Source organism: Homo sapiens, chromosome 17 (assembly GCF_000001405.40).
Source record: "Homo sapiens chromosome 17, GRCh38.p14 Primary Assembly".
NCBI classification, from domain to species: domain Eukaryota; kingdom Metazoa; phylum Chordata; class Mammalia; order Primates; family Hominidae; genus Homo; species Homo sapiens.
Genome location: NC_000017.11, coordinates 59,564,736 through 59,591,308, shown reverse-complemented (window position 1 = coordinate 59,591,308; position 26,573 = coordinate 59,564,736). Strand labels below are relative to the sequence as shown.

The 26,573-nt window shown below is 40.2% G+C and overlaps 1 protein-coding gene across 6 annotated transcripts in view, besides 3 other annotated features; it reads right to left on the bottom strand.

Annotated features, from left to right (window-relative positions):
* DHX40 (DEAH-box helicase 40) overlaps nucleotides 1-25,699 on the bottom strand; it is a 42,736-nt gene extending 17,037 nt beyond the window's left edge. Inside the window, exons 1-12 of one of the 6 annotated variants that reach the window (NM_024612.5) lie at nucleotides 25,526-25,699; nucleotides 24,515-24,682; nucleotides 20,646-20,791; nucleotides 18,074-18,193; nucleotides 17,342-17,569; nucleotides 17,055-17,121; nucleotides 15,838-15,969; nucleotides 13,944-14,043; nucleotides 11,751-11,837; nucleotides 11,430-11,612; nucleotides 5,076-5,156; nucleotides 3,256-3,413 (exon numbers count right to left, since the gene is read on the bottom strand). In NM_024612.5, the coding sequence (NP_078888.4) occupies nucleotides 3,256-3,413; nucleotides 5,076-5,156; nucleotides 11,430-11,612; nucleotides 11,751-11,837; nucleotides 13,944-14,043; nucleotides 15,838-15,969; nucleotides 17,055-17,121; nucleotides 17,342-17,569; nucleotides 18,074-18,193; nucleotides 20,646-20,791; nucleotides 24,515-24,682; nucleotides 25,526-25,637 (1,582 nt within the window). In that variant the 5' untranslated portion in view covers nucleotides 25,638-25,699. The remainder of the gene's footprint in view (nucleotides 1-3,255; nucleotides 3,414-5,075; nucleotides 5,157-11,429; nucleotides 11,613-11,750; nucleotides 11,838-13,943; nucleotides 14,044-15,837; nucleotides 15,970-17,054; nucleotides 17,122-17,341; nucleotides 17,570-18,073; nucleotides 18,194-20,645; nucleotides 20,792-24,514; nucleotides 24,683-25,525) is intronic. The other 5 variants (XM_006722083.4, XM_011525253.4, NM_001166301.2 and 2 more) reach the window with 5 other exon arrangements.
* Nucleotides 25,061-25,190: a silencer, noted in NCBI's record as "silent region_8781". NCBI's record gives its function as "represses an Ori minimal core promoter by ATAC-STARR-seq in GM12878 lymphoblastoid cells {active_cell/tissue: GM12878}" and the evidence as "EXISTENCE:reporter gene assay evidence [ECO:0000049][PMID:35858748]".
* Nucleotides 25,476-26,018: an enhancer, noted in NCBI's record as "H3K27ac hESC enhancer chr17:57642652-57643194 (GRCh37/hg19 assembly coordinates)". NCBI's record gives its function as "activates a minimal SCP1, AML or CMV promoter by ChIP-STARR-seq in naive H9 embryonic stem cells {active_cell/tissue: H9 hESC(naive)}" and the evidence as "EXISTENCE:reporter gene assay evidence [ECO:0000049][PMID:30033119]".
* Nucleotides 25,601-25,860: an enhancer, noted in NCBI's record as "active region_12509". NCBI's record gives its function as "activates an Ori minimal core promoter by ATAC-STARR-seq in GM12878 lymphoblastoid cells {active_cell/tissue: GM12878}" and the evidence as "EXISTENCE:reporter gene assay evidence [ECO:0000049][PMID:35858748]".

Genomic DNA, 26,573 nt, shown 5'->3' with positions numbered 1-26,573 from the left:
TTTGGGGATGGAGTCTCACTCTGTCACCCAGGCTGGAGTGCAGTGGCACGATCTCAGCTCACTGCAACCTCCGCCTCCTGGATTCAAGCAATTCTCCGCCTCAGCCTCCCCAGTAGCTGGCAACACAGGTGCACGCCACGCCTGGCTAATTTTTATATTTTTAGTAGAGACAGGGTTTCACCATGTCGGCCAGGCTGGTCTTAAACTCCTGACCTCAGGTGACCCACCTGCCTCAGCCTCCCAAAGTGCTGGGATTACAAGTGTGAGCCACCACACCTGGCCTATTTTTTAATTTCTTATCAGAGATGGGGTCTTGCTATGTTGCCCAGGCTGGCCCTGATCTCGTGGGCTCAAGCAATCATCCCACCTCAGTCTCCCAAGGAGCTGGGATACCACTGTGCCCACTGGTATTTTTAGCTCTGATACTGCCTCATGAAAACCAGTTAACATTACTTATTTTTATACAGCATTTTATTAGAACAAAAAATTGCAATTAGGGGTATTACCAGAATTAAAATTCTGACATTTCAGACTGCAACTGCTGGGTGCAATGGCTCAGGCCTGTAATACCAGCATTTTAAGAGGCCAAGGCTGGTGGGTCACTTGAGCTCAGGAGTTTGAGACCAGCCTGGGCAACAGAGTGAAACCCCATCTGTATAAAAATACAAAAAATTAGCCAGGCATAGTAGCAAGCATCTGTGGTCCCAGCTGCTGGGGAGGCTGAGGTATGGGAGGATCACTTGAGCCTGGAAGGCAGAGGTTGCAATGAGCCAAGATCACGCCACTGCATTCCAGCCTGGGCAACACAGTGAGACCTTGTCTCAATAAAATTTAAAAATTTTTTAAATTAAAAAAAAAAGACTGCAAACTATTTGAAACAGTATATTGATTAGAGTATTTTTATAGAAAAATGTATCCTCCATTATAATCATGGCAATAATAAATTAATCTGGACCCGACACTTCCAGCCTACAAAGGTATAAAGCCAGTGAGCTAACCCATTCTGTTGTCTGGCTGCAGACAAGGTATACTGTTCACTTGGAAGCTCCTTGAAAGAAAAAATTACTCCACTGCATGAAAACAAATCTAACATATGTCAAATTAAATTGTGTCCTATACTGACACACCAAGAAAAGAAAGAAGCAGAAGTTTAAAGACCTGGAAACTTCAAAAGAATTCTCTAAGGATGCAAGGGCTAAACTACCTTTTCTTTTGATCCTACAAAAAAAAAATTAGTAAATTACTAATGTACTATAAAAGCACTATCTTCCTTTACTAATGAAAGGAAATTAACGCCGGGCTGGGCGTGGTGGCTCATGCCTGCAATCCCAAGGCCAAGGTAGGCAGATCACCTGAGGTCAGGAGTTCCAGACCAGCCTGACCAACATGGTGAAACCCCATCTCTACTAAAAATACAAAAATTAGCCAGGCGTGGTGGCCCATGCCTGTAATCCCAGCTACCTGGGAGGCTGAGGCAGAAGAATCGCTTGAACCTGGGAGGAGGAGGTTGCAGTGAGTCCAGATCACACCATTGCACTCCAGCCTGGGCAACAAGAGTGAAACTCCATCTCAAAAACAACAACAACAAAACTTGTTTATCCTTAGTTTTCTGTCCTAGGGCTAAGGCACGGTAAACCCTCAGTAAATGCTCAATGAATTACTGGCAATCTAAATAAATGAAGAGATATTCCATGTACATGGATAGGAAGACAATACTGTCAAGATGTCATTTCTTCGCAACTTAATCTATCTTAATTAAAACATAATCCCAATTAAAATCCCAGCAAGGGCCGGGCGCGGTGGCTCACGCCTGTAATCCCAGCACTTTGGGAGGCTGAGGCGGGTGGATCACAAGGTCAGGAGATTGAGACCATCCTGGCTAACACAGTGAAACCCTGTCTCTACTAAAAATGCAAAAAATTAGCCGGGCGTTGTGGCGGGCGCCTGTAGTCCCAGCTACTCGGGAGGCTGAGGCGAGAGAACGGCACGAATCTGGGAGGCAGAGCTTGTAGTGAGCCGAGATCAGGCCACTGCACTCCAGCCCGGGTGACAGAGCAAGACTCCATCTCAAAAAAAAAAAAAAAAAAAAAAAATCCCAGCAAGTTCAGCAAGTTATTTTGTGGATTTCAACAGACTGGTTCTAAAGTTTATATGAAAAAGACCCAGAATGGCCTAAACAATTTTGAAGAGGAAGAACAAAACTTCAAGAGTTACTATAAAGCTCCAATAACCAGGACAGTGTGGTATTGGTGGAAGAACAAACAGACAATCAGATAAATGGAACAAGATACAGAGCCCAGAAACAGACCCATATAAGAATAGTCAGCTGATATTTAACAAAGAAGCGAAGGCATTTCAACAGAAAAAGGACAGTGTTTTGAACAAATGGTACCGCAACAACTGTACGTCCAAATACTAAAAGACAATAGAAGAGAAAATCTAGATGACTTTGGGTACGACAATGACTTTTTTAGATACAACAATAAAGACACAATCTATGAAAGAAATAATTGATAAGGTAGACTTCGTCAAAAATAAAAACTTCCGCTCTGCAAAAGTCAATGTCAAAACAATTAGAAGATAAACCACAGACTGGGAGAAAATATTTACAAAAGATCTATCTGTTAAATAACTATTTAAAATATGCAAAGACCTCTTAACAATAAGAAAACAACCCGGCTGGGCGTGCTGGCTCACGCCTGTAATCCCAGCACTTTGGGAGGCCAAGGCGGGCAGATGACCTGAGGTCAGGAGTTCGAGACCAGCCTGGCCAACATGGAGAAACCGCGCCTCTACTAAAAATACAGAATTAGCCAGGCGTGGTGGCACATGCCTATAATCCCAGCTAAAACCATATAACACAAAGAGTGATCCCTTTAGTTAATAATAATGTGTCAATATTGGCTCACCAATTGCAACTTATATGTCATACAAATCAAAGATGTTAATAGGAGAAATTGCTGTGGGAGGTTGAGGGGATGAATGTCAACCCTCTGTACTTCCTACTAAATTTTTCTGTAAACTTAAAAATGCTCTAAAAAATAAAGTCTATTAATTTTGTTTTTGGTTTTTTTTTTTTTTTTTTTTTTAGTAGAGATGGGGTTTTACCATGTTGGTAAGGCTGGTCTTCCAACTTCTGACCTCAAGCAATCCACCTGCCTTGCCCTCCCAAAGTGATGGGATTACAGGCGTGAGCCACCGTGCCCAGCCAAGTCTATTAGTTTTAAAAAACACAACTTAAAATAAACATCTTACCAGGTCTAATGAAGACGTTTTCCACAGACAACATTGCTGCTATTGGAAGTAGTAGATCTTCACAATCCAGGGAAGCAGCTTTTATTACTGCACATGTCAGATGTGGAGGCAAAGGAAACTCCACCATAGACAAACCCAATCTGGTGACATGGCCACTCCTTAATACAAAGAAAAAGTTTGTAAGTCTTTCTACACTAGGAGAGTACAAATGTAACATTCATCATTCAGAATAAATCAGATATAATTTACGTTACCTCCAATCACCTCCAGAAGTTCAATTCAATTTAAGAAAATTAGGCCAGGCGTGGTGGCTCATGCCTGTAATCCTAGCACTTTGGGAAGCTGAGGCAGGTGGATCACCTGAGGTCAGGAGTTCAAGACCTGCCTGGCCAACATGGCAAAACCCCGTTTCCACTAAAAACACAAAAATTAGCTGGGTGTGGTGGCATGCGCCTGTAGTCCCTGCTACTTGGGAGGCTGAGGCAGGAGAATCACTCAAACCCGGGAGGCAAAGGTTGCAAAGCTACTAAGGAGGCTGAGGGGGATTACACCTGTAATCCCAGCACTTTGGGAGGCCGAGGCAGGTAGATCACTTCAGGTCAGGAGTTTGAGACCAGCCTGACCAACATGGTGAAACCCTATCTCTACCAAAATATAAAAAAATTACCTGGGCATGGTGGTGCATGCCTATAATCCCAGCTACCTGGGAGGCTGAGGCAGGAGAATTGCTTGAACCTGGGAGGTGGAGATTGCAGTGAGGTGAGATTGCACCATTGTACTCCAGTCTGGGCAACAAGAGTAAAACTCCGTCTCAAAAAACAAAAAAAAAGAAGATGTCTTTGAAGACATGAGAGAATAATAATTTTATTTTTTCAATTTTACCGTTTTTTTTTTTTTGGAGACAGGGTCTTGCTCCGTCTCCCAGGCTGGAGTGCAATGGCGCAATCTCCTCAGCTCACTGCACCCCTCACCTCCGAAGCTCAGACGATCCTCCCACCTCAGCTTCCCAAGTAGCTGGGACTACTGGCATGTGCCAACACCATCGGCTAATTTTTGTATTTTCAGTAGAGATGGGTTTTACTATGTTTCTCAGGCTTGTCTCGAACAACTGGGCTCAAGCAATCTGCTCGCCTTGGCCTCCCAAAGTGCTGGAATTACAGGCGTGAGCCACCACGCACATCCAAGAGAATAATAATTATTAATATCAAACCTAACCACCCCATCACACAAACATGAAAACAAGGACTCTGGCTCTCTTATCATTTTTATGTATCCAGCATAATGCTTAGCACTGAAATGGTACTCAGAAATTACTTGTTAAATAATACCAATATTTATTAAACAAAAGGGATTATACCGTGCAGTTTCTTTCTCCTTTTTTTTTTTTTCAGATGGAGTTTCGCTCTGTTGCCCAGGCTGGAGTGCAGTGGCATGATCTTGGCTCACTGCAAGCTCTGCCTCCCAGGATCACACCATTCTCCTGCCTCAGCCTCCCGAGTAGCTGGGACTACAGGCGCCCACCACCACGCCCAGCTAATTTTGTTTTTGTATTTTTAGTAGAGACGGGGCTTCACCATGTTAGCCAGGATGGTCTCGATCTCCTGACCTCATGATCCACCGACCTCGGCCTCCCAAAGTGCTGGGATTACAGGTATGAGCCACAGCGCCCGGCTGGTTTTTCAATCAGAATTGTGATGAAAGACTAACAATCCATTCAATTTAAAGAAATTATTTTCTACTGTTAGAGAAAGGTATTTAGAGCCCTGTTTAAAAAGAGATCAATATCTGTTTTGATTGTGATTTTTTTTTTTTTTTTTTACCTGTCAATAGCATCACACTGGTAAAGTTGTTTAAGAGCTTCTAAAATAAGTCTCTCATTAGGTGGATCCAAATAGGGAAACCTGTGTGTTTAAATGAGATATGAAGTGAGAGGCATTCCTTGAACATGGTAGGATTTTATATAGACATGACGAAAATTTCTTTAAAAGGTTTTATTTCTATTTTTCAAGTCATCTTCTTTTTCTAAAAAAAAATTATATGATCATGATCAGCATTTGGCAAAAGAGGAAATAATTTTTTTCTGAATCACACTCCTCTACTTCAAGAAGTGATTCTTTTTGACTCCCCTTAGCTGAAATACTCTCACCAGTCTACTTATCCTAATCCTGCCCCACCCATCCTTCACAGCCTGTCAAGTCTACTCTTTTCTGCAGTCCATAATTTTTTTCCAAACTTTTATAAAAATAGTAGAGAAATATTAATAGTAGAGAAATATTAATTAGTACTGAAAATTATAAATTGTTCAATAGTACCTCAAAATGCTTTTTTTTGGAGATGGAGTCTCGCTCTGTTGCCCAGGCTGGAGTGCAATGGCACGATCTCTGATCACTGCAACCTCCATCTCCCAGGTTCAAGCAATTCTCCTGCCTCAGCCTCCCGAGTAGCTGGGACTACAGGCACATGCCACCACGCCTAGCTAATTTTTTGTATTTTAGTAGAGACAGGGTTTCACCATGTTGCCCAGGCTGGTCTTGAACTCCTGTGCTTAAGCAATCCGCCCGCCTCGGCCTCCCAAAGTGCTAGGATTACAGGCGTGAGCCACCGCACCCAGCCTCAAAATGCTTCTTAAATACAATTTAATTTTTTTTTTTTTTGAGACGGAGTCTCACTCTGCTGCCCAGGTTGGAGTGCAGTGTGGCAATCTCGGCTCACTACAACCTCCGTCTCCTGGGTTCAAGTGATTCTCCTGCCTCAGCCTGCTGAGTAGCTGGGATTACAGGCACCTGCCACCATGCCCAGATAATTTTTGTATTTTTAGTAGAGGCGGGGTTTCACCATATTGGTCAGGCTTGTCTCAAACTCCTGACCTCAGGTGATCCACCCACTTCAGCCTCCCAAAGTGCTGGGATTACGGGCGTAAGCCACCGCACCCGGCCGGACAAAATGCTTTCATATAAATGGGGAAATATATTCAATTAATTTAGCCATATTTGTGTCACATATGTGTACATGTGTATGTACTTATTTTCTGCCAAACTATCTCAGAATAAGTTGCAAATACAATGCCATTGCACACTTACAACTATCTCGGCATGCATCTCCTGAAAATAAGGACATTCTCTTACATCACCATAATGCGCTATTAATAAATATAATAAAATTAACAATTAACAATAATATTCAAAAGGGATAGCATCATCAAACATGAATATATATTTTTTAAAAACAGGAAAAATAATTACTTGATATCATCTGCACTGGGTTATTTTTTCCACCTTAAATCTGGATATGAAAAATCATCTACTCCAACTTCTCACCTTGAAAAAAATCCAATAGAAGACAAAAGGTCCAATACCTTATATAAAATGTCCATTCCAGGATTGATAACCCTATTTAAAAATAAATAAATAAAACAAGGCCAAGGATGGTAGCTCACGCCTATAATTTCAGCACTCTGGGAGGCTGAGGCAGGAGGACTGCTTGAGCTCAGGAGTTTGACAACAGCCTAGGCAACACAGCAAGATCCCATCTCTTATAAAAAGAAAAAATAATAAGCAAACAATAATCTCTTACACTGTTCTACTGCCAGCTTTCCTACAATTTGTACCAATAGGTCCTGGTAGCTTCTACAGCAAGAATTGGTAAACATTTTCCGTAAAGGGCCAGATAGTAAATAGCTTAGGCTTGCAGGCCATATGGTCTCTGTCACAATTACTCAACCATGCTATTACAGTGAAAGCAGCCACACATAAACAAATGGGTATGGCTGCATTCTAACATTTTATTTACAAAAACAGTCAGTGAGATTAGACCACAGTTTGCCACCCTTGTGCTAGAGCAATACCAAACCAGTCAGCTGCTTCTTCTATATAAAAGGAAAAACTACTTATTCTAAAATATTGCAATTAATTTCCCCCCTTGATTCCTCCAATTACCAATTCTGTCAACCACTCCTTATAAGTTACTTGGTTTCTAAGAGATCTACCATACCTAAGTACCATTCTCTAAAAACACTAGTATGTCAAACTCCTCATAAAACTTGATTATATCCAAAACTGAACTCCAAATGTTGAGTGACCAACACATAACAGGAACGCTGTAATTCCCCATCACCTAGTTTATTAATGTAACCAAAGTCTATGCCAGTGGAATTAAAAAAAAAATTTTTTTTTTTGAGACAGAGTCTTGCTCTGTCGCCCAGGCTGGAGTGCAGTGGTGCGATCTGGGCTCACTGCAAGCTCCGCCTCCCGGGTTCACGCCATTCTCCTGCCTCAGTCTCCCGAGTAGCTGGGACTACAGGCGTCTGCCACCACACCCAGCTAATTTTTTGTATTTTTAGTAGAGACGGGGTTTCACTGTGTTAGCCAGGATGATCTCCATCTCCTGACCTCGCAATCCGCCCACTGTGGCCTCCCAAAGTGCTGGGATTACAGGCGTGAGCCACCGCACCCGGCCTAAAAAAAATTTTTTAAACAGAGCCATACGTATAAGCCAATATTAAGGTTGTGATGATCTGATAATTTCAGATCTCTACCACATGTATTTGCTATTGTACATCCCAAACACAGGATATAAGATATATCCTTTCAAATTTACACCCTGTTGATTTTTGCCCATGGTTCTAATCTGTTAAAGTCATTTTAAAGCTTGGTCATCTACCTATTAGATATTAAGATATTTTCCAGAAAAATATAATCATAACTTCAATATTTTTATTCAGTATCATTAAAAATGTTTATCAAGAAAAAACTAAGTTCAGCACAATACCAGTAAAAACTTCATCTAGTCTACACTAAGCAATTAATTAATACTTTTCTAGACTGGGCTATCTGGCAACTATACTCAGCAGTACTGTCATCTACAGACTACTTTTTTATTCACAAGATATCAAATGCAGTATTGTTAAATACTGTGCTGAAAATAAAAGACATTAGGTTAAATTTCAATAAATTCTTGTGGAGCACCCATTATGTGGACGGTCCTGTCCTCAAACTGAAAAGGAAATGGCTTATAATGACATATTTGGCCGGGCATGGTGGCACACGCATGTAATCCCAGCTACTCAGAAGGCTGAGACACGAGAATCGCTTGAACCTGGGAGGTGGAGGTTGCAGTGAGCTGAGATTGTGCCACTGCACTCCAGCCCGGGTGACAGAGTGAGATCCTGCCTCAGAAAACCAAAACCAAACACAACAACAACAAAAAATGACATATTCATTGTGAACTTTTAAAATTCATACTCATTAATCGTCATTAAATTTCCTTAAACCATTTTTCAATAAACTGTACTAGAGTTCGCTAGTAATCAATGTCAAGCTTACTGGGTAGTTGTTTCCAGAACCCGCCCTTTTTACCAAATGAAAAAAATTAAGACTTTTGCCTTTCTCACCATTTTCTGATAACGTATTCTGCATAATTTCTCATAGATGACCTACAGTGACTCTGACGCTAAATCTGCAAGTTCTTTTAACACCACGGAAATAATGTCTAAATGCTCAAGACAAAATCACTTATGGTGGTAGGTTTTCCCTCATTATTTCCTTCCACCTTAGTCATCAATTCCTTCTTATTCAGACCTGTTCTTGCATTTTCAGCTTTAAAATTATTCTTCCTGATGGAAAAGAAAGGGAAAGCAAAATAATAATTGAGAAGATCCATTTTCTTTCTGTCGTCTATGAATCCTATACCATCTACCCCAAACACTGGCTCTACCTCTCCTTATTCTTTATACAACTTTTTAAAAAGGAAGTCTTTGTTTTTTGTTTCAAGCATTTTGAAACATAATTTTGCGATTTTTAGTACACTATGGCTTTTAAGACTTAAGATGGAAAAATAATTCAATGCAGATGATATTAATTATTGTTCCTATTTTTCTAATATATACTCATTCTTGGTTAGAGGCTGCTCTGCTATCCTTTGTGAATATACTAAGAGTCAATGTCAAACTTACTGAGCAGCTATTTCCAAAAATGGCCCTTTTTCCCCAAATGAAAAAAATCAAGACATTATTTTAATATCTGGGTTCATCTGAAAGTTTTCTATTGGGCTCTTTGGATTTCTTTAAATGGCGCTTTCCTTCTTTTCATTGGTATAATTTATTGCTACAGTCAGAATTTCATTTATTACATGCTTTTCTCTTTCCAGTATCTACATATTCTCATTCAGAAAATCTCTAATCTAATGATAACTATCAAAACATTTTGAAATTGGCAAATTGGCTTTCCAAGAGTATACAATGAGTATTTGTGGGTTTTGGGGTTTTTTTTTGCTTTTTTTGGTTTTTTTTTTTTTTTGGAGACAGAGTTTCGCTCTTGTTGCCCAGGCTGGAGTGCGATGGCGCAATCTCGGCTCACTGCAACCTCTGCCTCCCGGGTTCAAGTAATTCTCCTGCCTCAGGCTTTCAAGTAGCTGGGATCACAGACGAGCACCACCATCCTGGCTAATTTTGTATTTTTAATAGAGACAGGGTTACACCATGTTGGCCAGGTTGACCTCAGGTGATCCACCCGTCTCGGCCTCCCAAAGTGCTGGGATTACAGGCGTGAGCCACCGCACCCGGCCTACAATACATATTTGGATGCACCTAATAATCACTTACTATGAATTTAAAAACTGCACGGTTACCATCCCCCAAAATTCCTGAGCAGTTTTACATTCCAAGGCAATTAAGACCAAAATAAAGAAGATAGTACTTTCCTCCATTAATTCCCCTACCATGTATGATAGAAATTTCTATCTATAACAATATTCTATCTTATACCAATAAATTATATTAATATTTGGCTAATTTAACTGTTCTTCCTTTATTTCACGTGTCTGAACCTTGTTTTCCTAATATAACTTAAGCTTAGTGAAAGCAAAAAACTACAGAGTATTACTCTGTCTTTCATGGTATATAGTATGATGCTGGCCATACAAAAAAAACACTCCACTTTCCAACTGTATACCCTTTTGTTTTGTTTTGTTTTTTTTGAGACAGAATCTCGCTCTGTTGACCAGGCTGGAGTGCAGTGGTGTGATCTTGGCACGTTGCAGTCTCTGCCTCCTGGGTTCAAGTGATTCTCGTGCTTCAGCCTCCGGAGTAGCTGGGACTACAATCACGTGCCACCAAGCTCAGCTAATTTTTATATTTTCAGTAGCTACGGGGTTTTGCCAGGATGGCCAGGCGGGTCTCAAACTCCTGGCCTCAAGGGATCCGCCCACTTTGGCCTCCCAAAGTGCTAGGATTACAGACGTGAGCCACCACGCCCAGCCCCCTTCTTTTGAAACAGGGTCTCACTCTGTTGCCCAGGCTGGACCGCAGTGGTGCAATCATGGCTCACTGCAGCCTCTACCTGCCCGGCTCCAGCAATCTTCCCGTCTCAGCCTCCAAATATCTGGGACTCAAGCATGCACCATATCAGACTTTTTTTTTTTTTTAATTGTAGAGACAAGGTCTCACTATGTTGCCCAGGCTTGTCTCGAAATCCTAGGCTCAAGCAACCCTCCCACCTTGGCCATCCAAAGTGCTGAGATTACAGGCATAAGCTGTTATGCCCAGCTCATTATATACCTTTCATTACAAATAAACAGTGGTCACTAAGTGATCCACATAAACATCAGCACAACCCCCTAACCCCGCCATTAAGCCAAGGTTAAACATGAGCAAGAGATCCTACTAAAGCAATGCAAGGAAGTCTTCTGTGTTAGTTTAGTTGAAAAGCAACCAATAGAGCCAGGCACAGTGGCTCACACCTGTAATCCCAGCATTTTGGGAGGCCGAGGTGGGTGGATCGCCTGAGGTCAGGAGTTCGAGACCAGCCTGACCAACAAGGTGAAACTCCATCTCTACTAAAAATACAAAAATTAGCTGGGCATGGTGGCAGGTACCTGTAGTCCCAGCTACTCGGGAGGCTGAGACAGGAGAATTGCTTGAACCCGGGAGGCGGAGGTTGCAGTGAGCCGTGATCGTGCCACTGCTCTCCAGCCTGGGCAACGGAACAAGACTCCATCTCAAAAAAAAAAAAAAAAAAAAAAAAAGAAAAGAAAAGCAACCAATATAAAAACCAACCTGTAAAAGAGGTTAGCCTCAACTCTCAGGGATGTATCAGTCAAATATTTCAAAATAATTTTTGAGCCAATAACTTGGTTCCAGGCTAACAAGTTTTTCCTTTTTTTTCTAGTTGTCTACATACCTTATGACATCGTGTATGGCAAGGCACTTTAAGGTCAGAACTACAGATGTCAAACTAGTTCTCTTAATTTCAGGGATCACATGGTCAGGCATACACTGGTTCCAAAAATCTTTACTATAGATCCGAAAGCATTTTCCTGAAGAAGTCCTGCCAGCTCGGCCACTTCGCTGTAATGCCTCGCTCCTACAAAAGGAAAAAAACCCAAAAATTCCCCAAAATGTTCTGTGGGTTTCTCAGGTAATTTACTTTGTCTCCCCAAAACAGCTAGAAATTACCTAATCAGTTGTTCTTTGAATAAAAAGATTTGACATAGAGACTTACTTTGAAATTGGAACCACCTCCAGGATGTCCAACCCTAATCTGGGGTTGTGATTTAACTGCTTCACGAAGCCACCATCTACCACATATCTAAGAAGAATCAAAGCAAGTTAAGTTTCTGGAAAATAAAAGAAGACTTGTTAATTGTTAACCACTTTGGTTTCTCCTTTTCTAGCAAACTAGCAGGTACACAATGCCTTTTATGTTAAGTGTAAAACTTGAAAGTCAAGAAATTGGAACCCTCGTATGTTGTTGGTGGGAATGTAAAATGGTTCAGCCGAGGTGGAAAATTGTTCGGAGGTCCTCAAGAAGTTAAACACAAAATTACCATATGATCCAGCAATTCCATTTCTAAGTGTACACCAAAAAGAACTGAGAACAAGTACTCAAACAAATACTTATAGACCAATGTTCATATCAGCACTATGAATCACAGCCATAAGGTAAAAACAACCTAAATGTCCATTAACCATTAATGGAAGAAGGGATGAACAAATTGCTTTGCATATATGTATGTAGTATATATACACACGCATATATACACACACAATGGAATATATATATATATATATACACACACACACTATGCAATATTATTCAGCCACAAAAAAGAATGAAGTACTGATACATGCTACAATGTGGACGAACCTCAAAAATATTATGCTAAGTGAAAGAAAGCAAACACAGAAGGCCACATATTATATGATTCTATTTGTATGAAATATCCAGAATAGAAAATACCTACTGCTTCCTGCTGACACATCTAAAGAATTTTTTAAAAAAGAAAATACGTACAAACAAAAAGTAAGACTGGTAGTTGCCAAGGGCTGGGGTCAAGAGGGGAATGTGGAGTACCTGCTTAATGGGTATGGGGTTTTATTTTGAGGTGTTGAAATATTTTAGAACTAAGCAGAAGCAGTGGTTGCGCAATACTGTAAATGTACTAAGTACTACTTAATTTTTCATTTTAAATGATTAATTTTATGTGAATTTTGCCTCAATACAAAAATACACAAACTTGAAAGTCAGCTTCAGACCATTTAAACAGATTCAGAATCTAATTTCAACTAGCCCTTAACATGCCATTCTAAGCCAATTAAATGGTGAACAAGTCAGGTAAGGAACCAAAGTAGGATAGCAGTAACAAGACAACATTCTGAAACATGCTATTTAATGGCTTTTGCCTGTGCAGGAAACAGAAAATTACAGAGGTTAATTTACCCAGGAGAGCACTCCCTTAATCCCTTAGTGAAACCATTATTTTTAAAGTAACGAAGAAAAGCAGAGGAAATTAGACTTCCTCTCAGACCTGGGTGATCATTTTACCCAGAAGAAACACACAGGATCTTTGAGATTCAGGTTCAGCCTTCCGGAGACAGACAATCAGACTTAGCTAAAGAAATAAAATATATTCGGTAAATGATAAATAACCCAGTCTTAAAGAACTTTGCATTAGTTGTCAGTCCAGACTTAAAATTTCTTAGTGTTTCCTTACTAAATTTACCCAAAAATTTGATAGCACTATTTACTACATCCAGAAAAGATAAGGGACCTGAATCATAGTTAATTTTCACAAAAAGGTAAAAAGTCAGAGACAATACATCCAGATAAACACTGGATATACAAACTAACTCTACCGAGTGAGGCTGCAAGGTAGAAGGAAATATCAAATCATCTAAGGTATATGCTTATAATGGGAGTACAGAAAAATAGGTTTGGCTTCCTATTTAGTGAAACCCATAAAGCATTATACATAATCTTAAATTTGAAAAGAAGCTTCAAGTTGCCAAGTAGTTAAAAAGTGTGAACAGCCAAGTACGGTGACACATGCCTGTGGTCCCAGCTACCCAGGAGACTGAGGCGGGAGGATTGGCTGATCTCCATACAAGGCTGTAGTGTGCTATGACTGCACGCCTGTGAATAGTCACTATATTCCAGCCTCAGCAACATAATGAGACCCTGTCTCTAAAAAAACAAAAAGTGTGAATAGGAATATAGTATGTACCTCCTACTCCATTTCCTGCTCAAAGCAATCAATAATTACAAAACAAAATAGGTGATTACATGTTAAGAACATCAAAAAGTAGGAGAGAAGGGAATTAGTGGAGGGCACAGAAAAGCAAACTCAGTAATGTTTAGCTAATGTTTAGTAACGATAGGCTTCCTTGACTTTAAGAGAAAGTTCAAAAGTTTTACCTGATTCCATCTATTGTCAAAGACGTTGCAGAAATATTGGTGGATATGACACATTTTCTAATTCCAGGTGGTGGTGGCAAAAATATCCTCCTCTGTTGATCTGAAGTATATATAAAAAGAAAATACCAATTTACAACATGCATGTGTCAAACTCGAGTTTTGAAGAACTTAATTTTTCATTACAAGTCATGTTTCTAGGCCGGGCGTGGTGACTCACGCCTGTAATCCCAGCACTTTGGGAGGCTGAGGCGGGAGGATCACAAGGTCAGGATATCGAGACCATCCTGGCTAACATGGTGAGACCCTGTCTCTAAGAAAAATACAAAAAATTAGCAGGGCGTGGGGGCGCGCCCCTGTAGTCCCAGCTACTCGGGAGGCTGAGGCAGGAGAATTGCTTGAATCTGGGAGGCAGAGGTTGCAGTGAGCCAAGATCGCGCCACTGCACTCCAGCCTGGGCGACAGAGCGAGACTCCATCTCAAAAAACAAAAAAAAAAAAACAGAGGCAAGAGAAAATCCAGAACATTATTTTCAATGTAGCAGTAAAAAAGAATGAAATTATTTACTCTGTATAGAATAATATATGTCTATGTACATATTTAGTTAATGATTAATAACAAACCAAACATAATGGGTTTTTATCAGTTTCAATGTAAATTATAAAAGCATCGGTGAACCAAATCTTGAGAAAACAATGAGAACCTTAAACAATGATCCTAAGAATTTCCCTGAAGATGACAAAATCTAAAATAGATATCTATGCTTCAATAGAGAGTAAGAAGCTAATATCATCATAAAAAAGATTTCCAAAATAGCACATCTATGTTCTTTACTGACACATATATTCCAAAACTTTGTTAATATAGGGATAAGAATCACCCAATCAACAAAAGCTGTTAATACGCATACATGTAAAATATAAAAACATTCAAATGCTAATTCCAACTCCAAATAGGAGGCTAAGGTTAATTTCCCTTTAACTTTACAAGTTAAATTCCATAATAAAAGTTTTATAAAACAAATTCTAAACCTCATTCAACAATATTTACTATAACCAAAATGTCAAATCAAGAGTTTGCATTTGCTCTTGGAATTCACCAAAGAACAGGATCATTCTTGAAAAGCAGACTAAGGCATGGCTACTTTAAAAGGAAAATGATCCACAGCCAGGCATGGTGGCTCACATCTGTAATCCCAGCAATTCTGGAGGCCAAGGCAGGCAGATGACCTGAGGTCAGGAGTTTGAAACCAGCCTGGCCAACATGGCAAAATCCCATCTCTGCTAAAAAAAAAAAAAAAAAAATACAAAACTTAGCCAGGTGTGGTGGCGAGCGCCTGCAATCCCAGCTACTTGGGAGGCTGAGGAAGGAGAATCGCTTGAACCCAGGAGGTGGCGGTTGCAGTGGGCTGAGATTGCGCCACTGCACTCCAGCCTGGATGACAAGAACGAGACTCCATCACAAAAAAAAAACAAAACAATCCACTGTGTTTAGACTTAGATATAGCTGGATATACACAATTTCTAAAAATTCTGTGGCAATGGCAAATTAGGTTTTGACTTACAGTAATACCAGCAAGAAACTACTGTCCTCATTTCAAAGAATTCTCACCAATAGTTTTGTTTTGCTGGGAGAAACAATACTCTAAACGATAATAAGGGGGATATCCACGACTCTCAAAAAAGTGAATGTAAAAAGACTTCAGGCAAAAATCACTACTGTCAAGGAATGCTGGTTCTCACTGATTTGTTTCATGATCTGGATGTGGGTTACAAAGGTGAGACTGGTTTGTGAAACTTACCTAAGCACTTAAGATCTGACTGCTTTTCTGTAAACACGATTATTCAATAAAAAGTTTTTTTAAAAAATCAAATTTTCTATTCTAATGAGAAATTACCTGTTGTCATTGATCCATAACACGGCAATATTAACAAGCCATCGAGGGTGGTATCTTGAACATCATAATCATAATCAACAGACTCTGCCATCTGAAAAAGTAACTCACAACTTTTTTCTATTTCAAACTGGCCTAAAATGGGAAGAAAAAAATAACTTCAGCAACTGAACAGAAAAATTAATTTAAAAATAAAGAAAATGTCAAGATTAAAATTAATTTTGCCTAAAAGTTATTGTAAATCTCTCATTTAATGTAAAGGAGATGAACACATAAGCTGTACCATATTTCAACAATAAAATTCGAAGTAGAAGAAACATCAGTTTCTAAGAAACCTAAATCTCTAAAGGAATAAAAATATTTATCATCGTCAAGCTTTTCACCCTGTATTTGAGAAGACTCACCAAATTGTTAACAAAGGAGAAAAGCTAGTCCAGGTGCTATTGCATTTGGTTAAATTTCAAAATACTTAAGTAATCTCCAAAAAGGCAAAGATTGTGACAATCCCTCACTTCTGACATTAGTACAAGGCAGAGGAAAAAGGTAAACAAGGAAACTACTAATTCCTATTAGGAGGGTGCTGCTATTTGAAAAGTTATGCCACTAGTTTGGGATTTAACTATTTTATTTTTGATCTCCAAAAATGCCACATGCTTGTCTACGACACATAGATTCTACACCTTATGTGTTGTTATCACACAGTACAATGCCACCACCCAAAGAAGAACCTGGTGAAATGTCCTTTGAAATAATGGAATTAACTCAGGTCTGTTTAGTCAGGTTACATTTCTATCTAAGACAGACCAACAAAAACAATATTTCACTATTTAATTTCTTTCTATTAAAAGGTCAGTGTGTTTTACATATATTTACTAATGAGCCTGATGTCTTTGACATTTGACATATATGTGTGTGTATATATACATATACACTATTACGTCTTTGACATATACTACTATGTCTTTGACATAAAATATATATACATACTATTATGTCTTTGACATAAACATATGTCTTTGACATAAATATATATAATCCTCTTTGGCAGCTAGCTTACAATTTTTATCTATCTTTTACCTAAAATTATTCAGATAATCAGAAAAAGCTAGGGCAACACTTGAGAAGGGCACAGAATTCCCAACAGAGGTAGCACTCTATCTGGGTGCCACATTCCTTACTTACAAATACTTAAGTTTTTTAACTTGATACTGAATGCTCACCAGTCAGAAAAACCAAGATGTCTCCAGCCATTTCATTCAAATGGATATCCATGGTGACTTTCACAATCTAAAGCAAGAAATGCAGGCATAATATGCTAGTGGAAATACAGTCATTCCCTTACCACCACTTCCCTTGCCCCACAGAAAAATTAAATTTGGTTCTTAAAAGTTCTAGGACCTGTGAGGACTGTCATTAAAATAGTAGTGAACAAATGAATTATCAAACCACCCAATTAGTAAGAATCATAGATATTTAAAAAAGACATTAAATGAATGCCAAGTAATACCGCTTGAATATACGCAGTATTTTCTCTGTCTCGTGGACCAATCAAATTGCAGAATTTCTCTCTGACTGGATAAAGCCTTCCAGGTATATCAAATATTGGACAATTTCCAAAGAATGCAGAGAGCTTGGCTAATTCCATAGTTGCTGACATTACCACCACTTTTAAATGCTCCTTCCTATTAGGAGACTTCTCCTGAAATAGCTTCTTCAATAAACCAAATAAGATATCCTGAAAGAAAAGTAAATTTCTAGTAAGTCACAAGTACACTTAACAGCCAAACTATTTTAGATACACTGCTATTCTAACCAAGGAATTCCTATTTTAATACATTAAAATATAAGTAGGAGCCAGGTGCAGTGGCTCACACCTGTAATCCCAGCACTTTGGGAGGCCAAGGTCGGAGGCCAGGAGGTCGAGACCTGCCAGGGAAACAAAACGAGACACTGTCTCTACAAAAAATATTCTTAAAAATTAGCCAGACATGGTGATGCACGTCTGCAGTACCAGCAACTCAGGAGGTTGAGATGGGAGGATCACTTGAGCCCAGGAGTTCAAGGGTGCAGTGAGCTATGATCGTGCCACTGCTCTCCAGCCTGGGTGATGGAGCAAGACTCCATCTCTAAAAAATTAAATTAAATTAAAAAGTAAGAGGAGGCAATTCTCTACACAATAAAAAGCTACCCAAACAAACTACTTGCTAATAAAAAAATAATAATAAATTAAAATACTCACTGTAGTTAGAGTTCTTTCATGGGCTTCATCCAAAATAATGACACTGAATTTGGTAAGATTTGGGTCTCCCAGAATATGTTTCAGTAAACATCCATCAGTCATATATTTGATTGCTGTCTCCTAATGTTCAAACAGCAGTGTCACAGGAATTCACCACTATTTTCCCAACTAAATTTTTCCTCAAGAGGTACAAACATTAAGTGATCAAACCACTCTGACTAAACAAAAGGGTACATAAAAATAGTCTAACTTATGTATACAAAATGATGGTAAGTTACAAAACATGCTGTCTATACAGAAAAAGGGACAAATAACTCACTTGGGTATTCTTGGACAAAGCAACAAAAATCACCAATAAGGAAATACAATAAAGTCAGAGGAAAGTGGCAAGATGATGCAATGGCATTGGGTAAGCAAGTTGTGGGAAACAACAGTGAAATGAGATTTATCTTTCTGACTCAGCCCCTATTTTAGAGGATTCGGGGGAAATGAGAAAATGGTAGGTGCATACTTTCCACCCACTCTCTCCTCTTCTCTATTAAAAAATGTGTTACTTAGGTCAGACACGGTAGCTCACGCCTGTAATCCCAGCACTTTGGGTTGCTGAGGTGGGCGGATCACTTGAGTCCAGGAGTTCGAGACCAGCCTGGACAACATAGCAAAACCACATCTCTAATAAACATATAAAAATTAGCCAGGTGTGGTGGGTCACGCCTGTAGTCCCAGCTACTTGGGAGGCTGAGACGGGAGGACTGCTTGAGCCTGAGAGGCGGAGATTGCAGTGAGCTGAGATCACGCCATTGCACTCCAGCCTGGGTGACTTAGTAAGACACTATCTCCAAATAAAAATGTGTTACTCAACAAGCATTAAAACAGGGTGAGAAAAAGGTCCAAAGGGTAGGAATAACAGCAACGACATCCATAAAACAAGGGAAAGAAGAAAGAAAAAACAGTGACCACTAGGAAGGCAAAAAGATAGTATTTTGGGGAGTCATCTTGTGCCACATTTGATGGCCATTCCCATTAGGGAACATATGTAAACCAGGGATCGTTTTGTAGCTGGACAGGATTAAGAAATCCACAGGGAATGTAAATTATAATATTCACTATTAAAAAGAAAATTTTAAATTTGTTGGTGCCATGAATATAGAAGATGCTTTAACACTTGCTGATTTTGTTAATTGGCTGATTTTGTTAATTCAGCTTTCCATTGACTTCAAGAATACAAACACATAAAATAAATCAACCTGAAAACATGCTCAGTGAAATAAGAGTGACACGAAGTACAAAATATTGTGTGATTCCACTTGAATGAGGTACCCGGAGTAGGCAAATTTGTAGAGACAGAAAGTAGAACAGAAGATACAGCAGGGCGCGGTGGTTTACCCTGTAATCCCAGCACTTTGGGAGGCCGAGGTGGGCAGATCACAAGGTCAGGAATTTGAGACCAACCCCATCTCTACTAAAAATACAAAAAATTAGCTGGGCGTGGTGGCAGGAGCCTGTAAACCCAGCTACTTGGGAGGCTGAGGCAGGAGAATCACTAGAACCTGGGAGGCAGAGGTTGCAGGGAGTGGAGGTTGCGCCACTGCACTCCAGCCCGGGCAATGGTGTGAGACTTCGTCTCAAAAAAAAAAAAGAAGTTACCAGAGGCTAGGGGGAGGGAGAAATGGGGGTTTTAATCTATAAGAGTTTCTGTTTGGGATGATAAAAAAAGTTCTGAAAGTAGAAATGGTGATGGTTACCCAACATTGTGAACACATTTTTTTTTTTTTTTTGAGGTGGAGTTTTGCTCTTGTTGCCCAGGCTGGAGTGCAGTGGCGCGATCTCAGCTCACCGCAACCTCCGCCTCCCGGGTTCAAGCCATTTTCCTGCCTCAGCCTCCTGAGTAGCTGGGATTACAGGCATGCACCACCGTGCCCAGCTAATTTTGTATTTTTAAAAGAGACAGGGTTTCTCCATGTTGGTCAGGCTGGTCTCGAACTCCTGACCTCAGGTGATCCACCCGCCTCGGCCTCCCAAAGTGATGGGATTACAGACGTGAGCCATCGAGCCCAGCCCATTGTGAACATACTTAATGGCACTGAATTGTATACCAAAATAGTAAAATGGTCGATTTTAAGTTATATATATTTTACTACAATAAAACATTTTAAAAACCTACATGTCAAGAATCCTTACAGTTAAAAAACATAAATAAGAGAATCCTAAGAAAATAAACTGTCATTTATAAACTAAGGAAGGAGAAAATGGGATGAACATCAGACACTTGAGAGCTAAAGCATTAACAATGAACAACAAAAATAAATTCTTTAAAATATATATTGAACTTTGAAGTTAAAAATCTTTCAGAACTCTCTCCACTCTTTCTGTTAAGTTTATAACATTAGCTGGGCATGGTGGCATGCTCCTGTAGTCCCAGCTACCCAAGGGGCTGAGGTAGGAGATCACTTGAGCCCAGAAGGTAGAGGCTACAGAGAGCCATGATTGCGCCACGCACTCCAGGCTGGGCGACAGAGCAAGACCCTGTCCCATAAAAGAAAAGAAACAAATACCAACAAGACTTTTGTACCTTAGAACTGCAATCATCAAAACGAACTTGGTATCCTACTTTGGATCCCAAAGTGCATTTCATTTCTTCAGCTACTCTCTGAGCAACTGATATAGCAGCTACTTTTCGTGGTTGAGTTACACCAATCATACCATGTTGTGAAAACCCTATCAAAACCAGAGATAAAGAAACACAACAATGTTAGCAATTGTCTTCCTATTAGAGCTAAATTGTTTTTGGCCAATCAACACAAAACTGCTTGAATGTTTCCAAAAGAATATCTCGCAAATTAAAAACACACTGCTATGTTTGCATCATGGAAATTTAAATATTAATTTAAAATAATACATATTAATAACCATGCAAAAATATATTATATATATAATATATAAATATATATAATATAAATCCAGTTTATATTATATATATTTATATATTATATATATTATATACTAATATATATTTAATATATAATATATATTATAATATATTATATATTATATATATTAATATATAACATATTATATGTATTATATAATTTATAATATATTATATATAAATATACATTATAATATATTATAATATATACTATATATTATATATAAATATACATTATAATATAATGTATATTATATATATTTAGACAGAGTTTTGCTCTTGTTGCCTAGGCTGTAGTGCAATGGCGCAATCTCGGCTCACCGCAACCTCTGCGTCCCAGGTTCAAGCAACTCTCCTGCCTCAGCCTCCCGAGTAGCTGGGATAACAGGCATGTGCCACCATGCCGGGCTAATTTTGTATTTTAGCAGAGACGGGTTTTTTCCCTGTTGGTCAGGCTGGTCTTGTACTCCCAACCTCAGGTGATCCACTTGCCTCTGCCTCCCAAAGTACTGGGATTATAGGCTTGAGACACCACGCCCAGCCAAAACAAAAAAAAAGAAAGAAAAAATTATATATATATCTATATATATATATAGATATATATATATTTTTTTCTTTTTTGAGACGGAGTATTGCTCTGTTGCCCAGGCTGGAATGCAGTGGCGCGATCTCGGCTCACTGCAACTTTCACTTCCTGGGTTCAAGCGATTCTCCTGCCTCAGCCACCTGAGCAGCTGGGATTACAGGCGCTTGCCACCAGGCCCAGCTAATTTTTTTGTAAAAAATATATTTTTTAAATTAGAATTCAGGCTTTGTCTGTTTTTTTCTGTCTAAAAATCTACTCTAAAGGTAAGCCAAGAATTTTGAAACATAAGAATTCATAAAATTCCACACACTTCCCAAAATAAATTTACTTTTGCCACAAGAGTAAAACTGGATTTATTTATTTATTTATTTATTTATTTATTTATTTATTTTTGAGATAGAGTCTTGCTCTGTTGCCCAGGCGGGAGTGCAGTGGCACAATCTCGGCTCACTGCAACCTCTACCTCCTGGGTTCAAGCAATTCTCCTGCCTCAGCCGCCTGAGTAACTGGGATTACAGGTGCGCGCCACCACACCCAGCTAATTTTGTATTTTTAGTAGAGATGGGGTTTCACCATGTTGGCCAGGCTGGTCGCAAACTTCTGACCTCAAGTGATCCATCTGCCTCAGCCTCCCAATGTGCTGGGATCACAGGCATGAGCCACTGCACCCAGCCTAAAACTGGACTTAAATATGCCACCTTTCTGCTGGGAGCAGTGGTACACACCTGTAATCCCAGCTACTCAGGAGCCTGGCTACTCAGAAGGTTGAGGTAGGAGGATTGCTTGAACTCAGGAGTTTGAGATCAGCCTGGGCGACATAGTAAGATCTCATCTCAAAAAAATAAATAAATATATATATCTATATTTATATATATATATATATGCACCTTCCATATACCATTTTAATATATTTGGGAATGGAGCTGCATCTTAAAATCGATGGCGCATTTCCATTCTTACTAATACAGTAGTCCCTCTTTACCTTTGGTTTTGCTTTCCAATTTTTCAGTTACCTACAGTCAGTGGAGGTCCAAAAATGTTACAGTACTTTGAGAGACAGAGAGAGACCACATTTACAAAAGTTTTACTACAGTATATTGTCATAACTGCTCTATTTTATTGTTGTTGTTGTTAATTTCTTACTATGCCTAATTTATAAACTAAACTTTATCAAAAGTATGTATGTATGTATAGGAAAACACATAGTATATGCAGGGTTTGGTATTATTGGCAGTTTCAGGCATTGAGTGGTCTTAGAAGGCATCTCCCAAGGATAAGAAGGGATTACTGCACATAAAATAGTGATATATCTTAATAGATGGCACCTTAGATTGAAGCATTAGAATAATACATTTGTTATTTTTTAAGGCAAATCATATCCAATATAATACTGCTCTTTACAAACCTTATGACAGAAAGTTCTGTCATACTGAATGACACTTGTCAAAAAACAAAATTACAACAAATTTATTTTATTTTTATTTATTTTTTTTGACACAGAGTCTCACTCTGTTGCCCAGACTGGAGTGCAACAGCACGGTCTCAGCTCACTGCAACCTCTGCCTCCTGGGTTCAAGTGATTCTCCCGCCTCAGCCTCCCAAGTAGCTGGGATTATAGGCGCCCGCCACCACGCCTAATTTTTGTATTTTTAGTATAGACGGGTTTCACCATGTTGGCCAGGCTGGTCTCGAACTGCTGACCTCATGATCCACCTGCCCTGGCCTCCCAAAGTGCTGGGATTACAGGCTTGAGCCACTGCGCCCGGCCTAAAAAATTTTTTTTTTTTTGGAGACGGAGTCTCACTCTGTCTCCCAGGCTGGAGTACAGTGGCACGATCTCGGCTCACTGCAAGCTCCGCCTCCCAGATTCATGCCATTCTCCTGCCTCAGCCTCCCGAGTAGCTGGGACTACAAGCGCCCACCACCACGCCCGGCGAATTTTTTTTTTTTCTATTTTTAGTAGAGACAGGGTTTCACTGTGTTAGCCATGATGGTCCCGATCTCCTGACCTCATGATCCGCCCACCTCGGGCTCCCAAAGTGCTGGGATTACAGGCGTGAGCCACTGTGCCCAGCCAAAACTTTTTAATTGGCTTTTGTGATTCTAACTCTGGAATCACATCAACCCATCGTCTCATAAAATAGAATCAGTGTTCCAATGAGCTGAGCAGAGGAGGCTGATTGTATAGACAGAAAAGGGCTGAGGAAAGCAGAAACAGAAAACAAAAAGCAGATTGCTCATTTCAAAGTTACTTTTCTTGTCAAAGTTAAAGCAGAGGAAACTTCTTGATGCTCCTAAAACTGGTCTGTTTGGGGATTTGGCTATTATCTCTTTCTCCTGATTTCTCAGTAGATGAAAAATTTAGTTTCTAGACTTGGTGGCGTGGAACTTCAGTATGAGTAACTCCATTTTGGTTTGGTCTGTTGGGTCTAGTGCGGGGGATCAGTCCAAACCAAAGGCCTCCTATTAACTTTACTTAACGTATTTTAAAGGTAATTTGTTAGTTGGCTTGCGCTGGCAAAGTCAGGGGATAAATATTTACCTGATAATGCTCTAGAGAAAGAACCAAGAAGTACTAATGGCAGCAACAGATATCACATATCTCTTACCCCTCAAAATTATTTCAGTATCCAATGGTTAATAGTCTACTGCTAGACAACTTTATTCTATAAAATGGAATATCTAGATGTAATTCTATTTGAGATTATTATGGTAATTAAAAATGGGAAAATTTGCCATCCCAACTAATTCTTGAACCTGAAATAGACCATAAAGAAGCAAAGGAGACATAGGGGAAGGGGGTGTGCCAAGAGAAGCGGGACTATAAAGCAAATACTGGGCAATCATGGAGTACAGAAGTCCTACTGGCCTTTAAAAAGAGGATATTTTTAAAATATTTCCAATTATTACAACAGAAAAAAATCACCTGCTTCATATAGATATTTTGGGAGTTGAGTTGTTTTACCACTTCCTGTATTTCCAGTAACAATAAGGAATGAATTGTCCCTCACAGCTTGAATAATCTTTTTTCTTTGTTTCTGAATAGGAAAAGTTGGAGTAGTTCCTCCCTCCTGGGACGTGCATCCTTTCTCTTCTGTAATAACAGAAAAACAAGTCAATTAAAAGACTTGTAAAGATATCTCTGACTCAATTTCTCATGACTAAAACCAGAAAGGCAATAGAATTTTAGGGCTGGACGGGATCATCCATGACTTCTCAGTTAAATCGCTCATGTAAGTGAGCGTTAATGAGCGCAATTTGTAAGTGAGGGTTAATGAGCCCAGAACAACTTTTTGGTGAAATCCAGCAACTTGAGCATTTGTTCACGCATAACTCAAAGTACTTTTCAAAGCAAGTATAGCTCAAGGCAACGTATACACATGCATACTTACACAGAAGCACAAAACTCAATTTTATTTAACAATAGACCAAAAACTGGAACACAGCAGAAAATTCTCAGCTGGATTAGAAGCCACCTGTGTTTGCTTCTGATTCATGGTTCAAGTTAGGTCCCTGTTCAGAGCGACTGATATCCCAGAAGGCCAAGTGGTGGGTAACCATGGAAACTGGCTCCTGGAAACTGGCTCCCTTCATACTGTACCCAAAGGCAGGCTGGCGGCCCGACGAAGGGTGGGGGGGATGAATGGGTAGAGAACAAAGGGTCTATGAGCCTGTTTAAGAACAGAATGCATTTCGGGCGTTGGGGTTCACTTTTTCGCCCCCCAGTAAGGTTTTCGCCTAACTTGAATCTGGGACCGCCCCCCTCTAAGGCAAAGTGCTCATTGGACGCAAAGTTCGCCTCGGGCTTGGAAAGCCAGGAGAACGCCACGGCTTCCTCACTACTCTTCTCAGCCTGCCAAAGGCGTACTTTCATCCCCCCACCAAAACCCCCACGCCGTAACTCCCGCTGGCTTCCGTACCGTCCCGCGGACCGCACCTCTATCGGCGATGCAAACAGCCGAGAGCCGCTCTTCCTGGAGGTCTCTTGACCGCTCACCCTCCTCCTGCCGCCTTGGCGCCCTGCCCGCGACTGCGGGAAACCGGGACATAGACCTGGCCCCGAGTGGAGGCGAGCACGTCCACCGATCTGAGGAGATGGGAGGGGAAAGACGAGGACGCGCCCTGATGACGTAGAGGTGTTTACTTCCGCGCGTGCGACTTGTAGCAAGGGGAGGGGGAGCTGCTCGATGACGTGGTACGGGGCGGCCGGACCTCGAGCCGAGGCTCCACCCCCCAGGGATTTCCCGCCAACTGCCACGTGCGCTTCGCCTTGGGCGGCTGAGCCATACCTGAGGGCCCGAAGACCCCCTCTTGTTTCGCCTCTCCGGCGCCGAAGGTCGCGACGACACCTCTTTTCAACGCCACAGTGGTCTCTGCAGGCTATTCTGCCTTCACACACTTGACACGATGTAACCCTCTGCCCGGAGCTGGAACCATGATCCCAGAGTGCTGCGTTCCTCAACTCATTCTCACCTTTCCTAATCTGATATGACCTGTCCAAGGCACACAGCTACTGAGTTGTGGAGCCGAACTTTTAGTTATGTTATTATCAAAACTTAGGTCACCAAGGCTGTTCATTTCCCTCATAGGACCCTGCATTTTAATTTATTTGCATGTTTCCTCTTCTGCCCAGCTAGATTGTAAAGCCCCCCCCCACAAGAGTCGAAATATTAAAACACTGCTACATCCAGGGCCCAGCACAGTGATTCAAGGTGGGCTGTCAATATTTGTTGACTTTGCTGGAATGGAGGAATAATAATTGACTTCCTTAGGAATTAAGCTCATTTTTGATAGAGGTGCATTCCTTGGAAACCACAGTAGCTGAAAAGTTCAACAGATACACAGCATCTGAGGCAGGGCAACTTTTTCAGAAAAGGTACTTTGGGGGCAGGTCTTTCTGGTCTAGAGCCTGCCAATTTTTAAATTAGTGTCAACTGTAACAAAATCATTGCAATGTGAACAAGATTGTTTGTTGGACTCCTCAA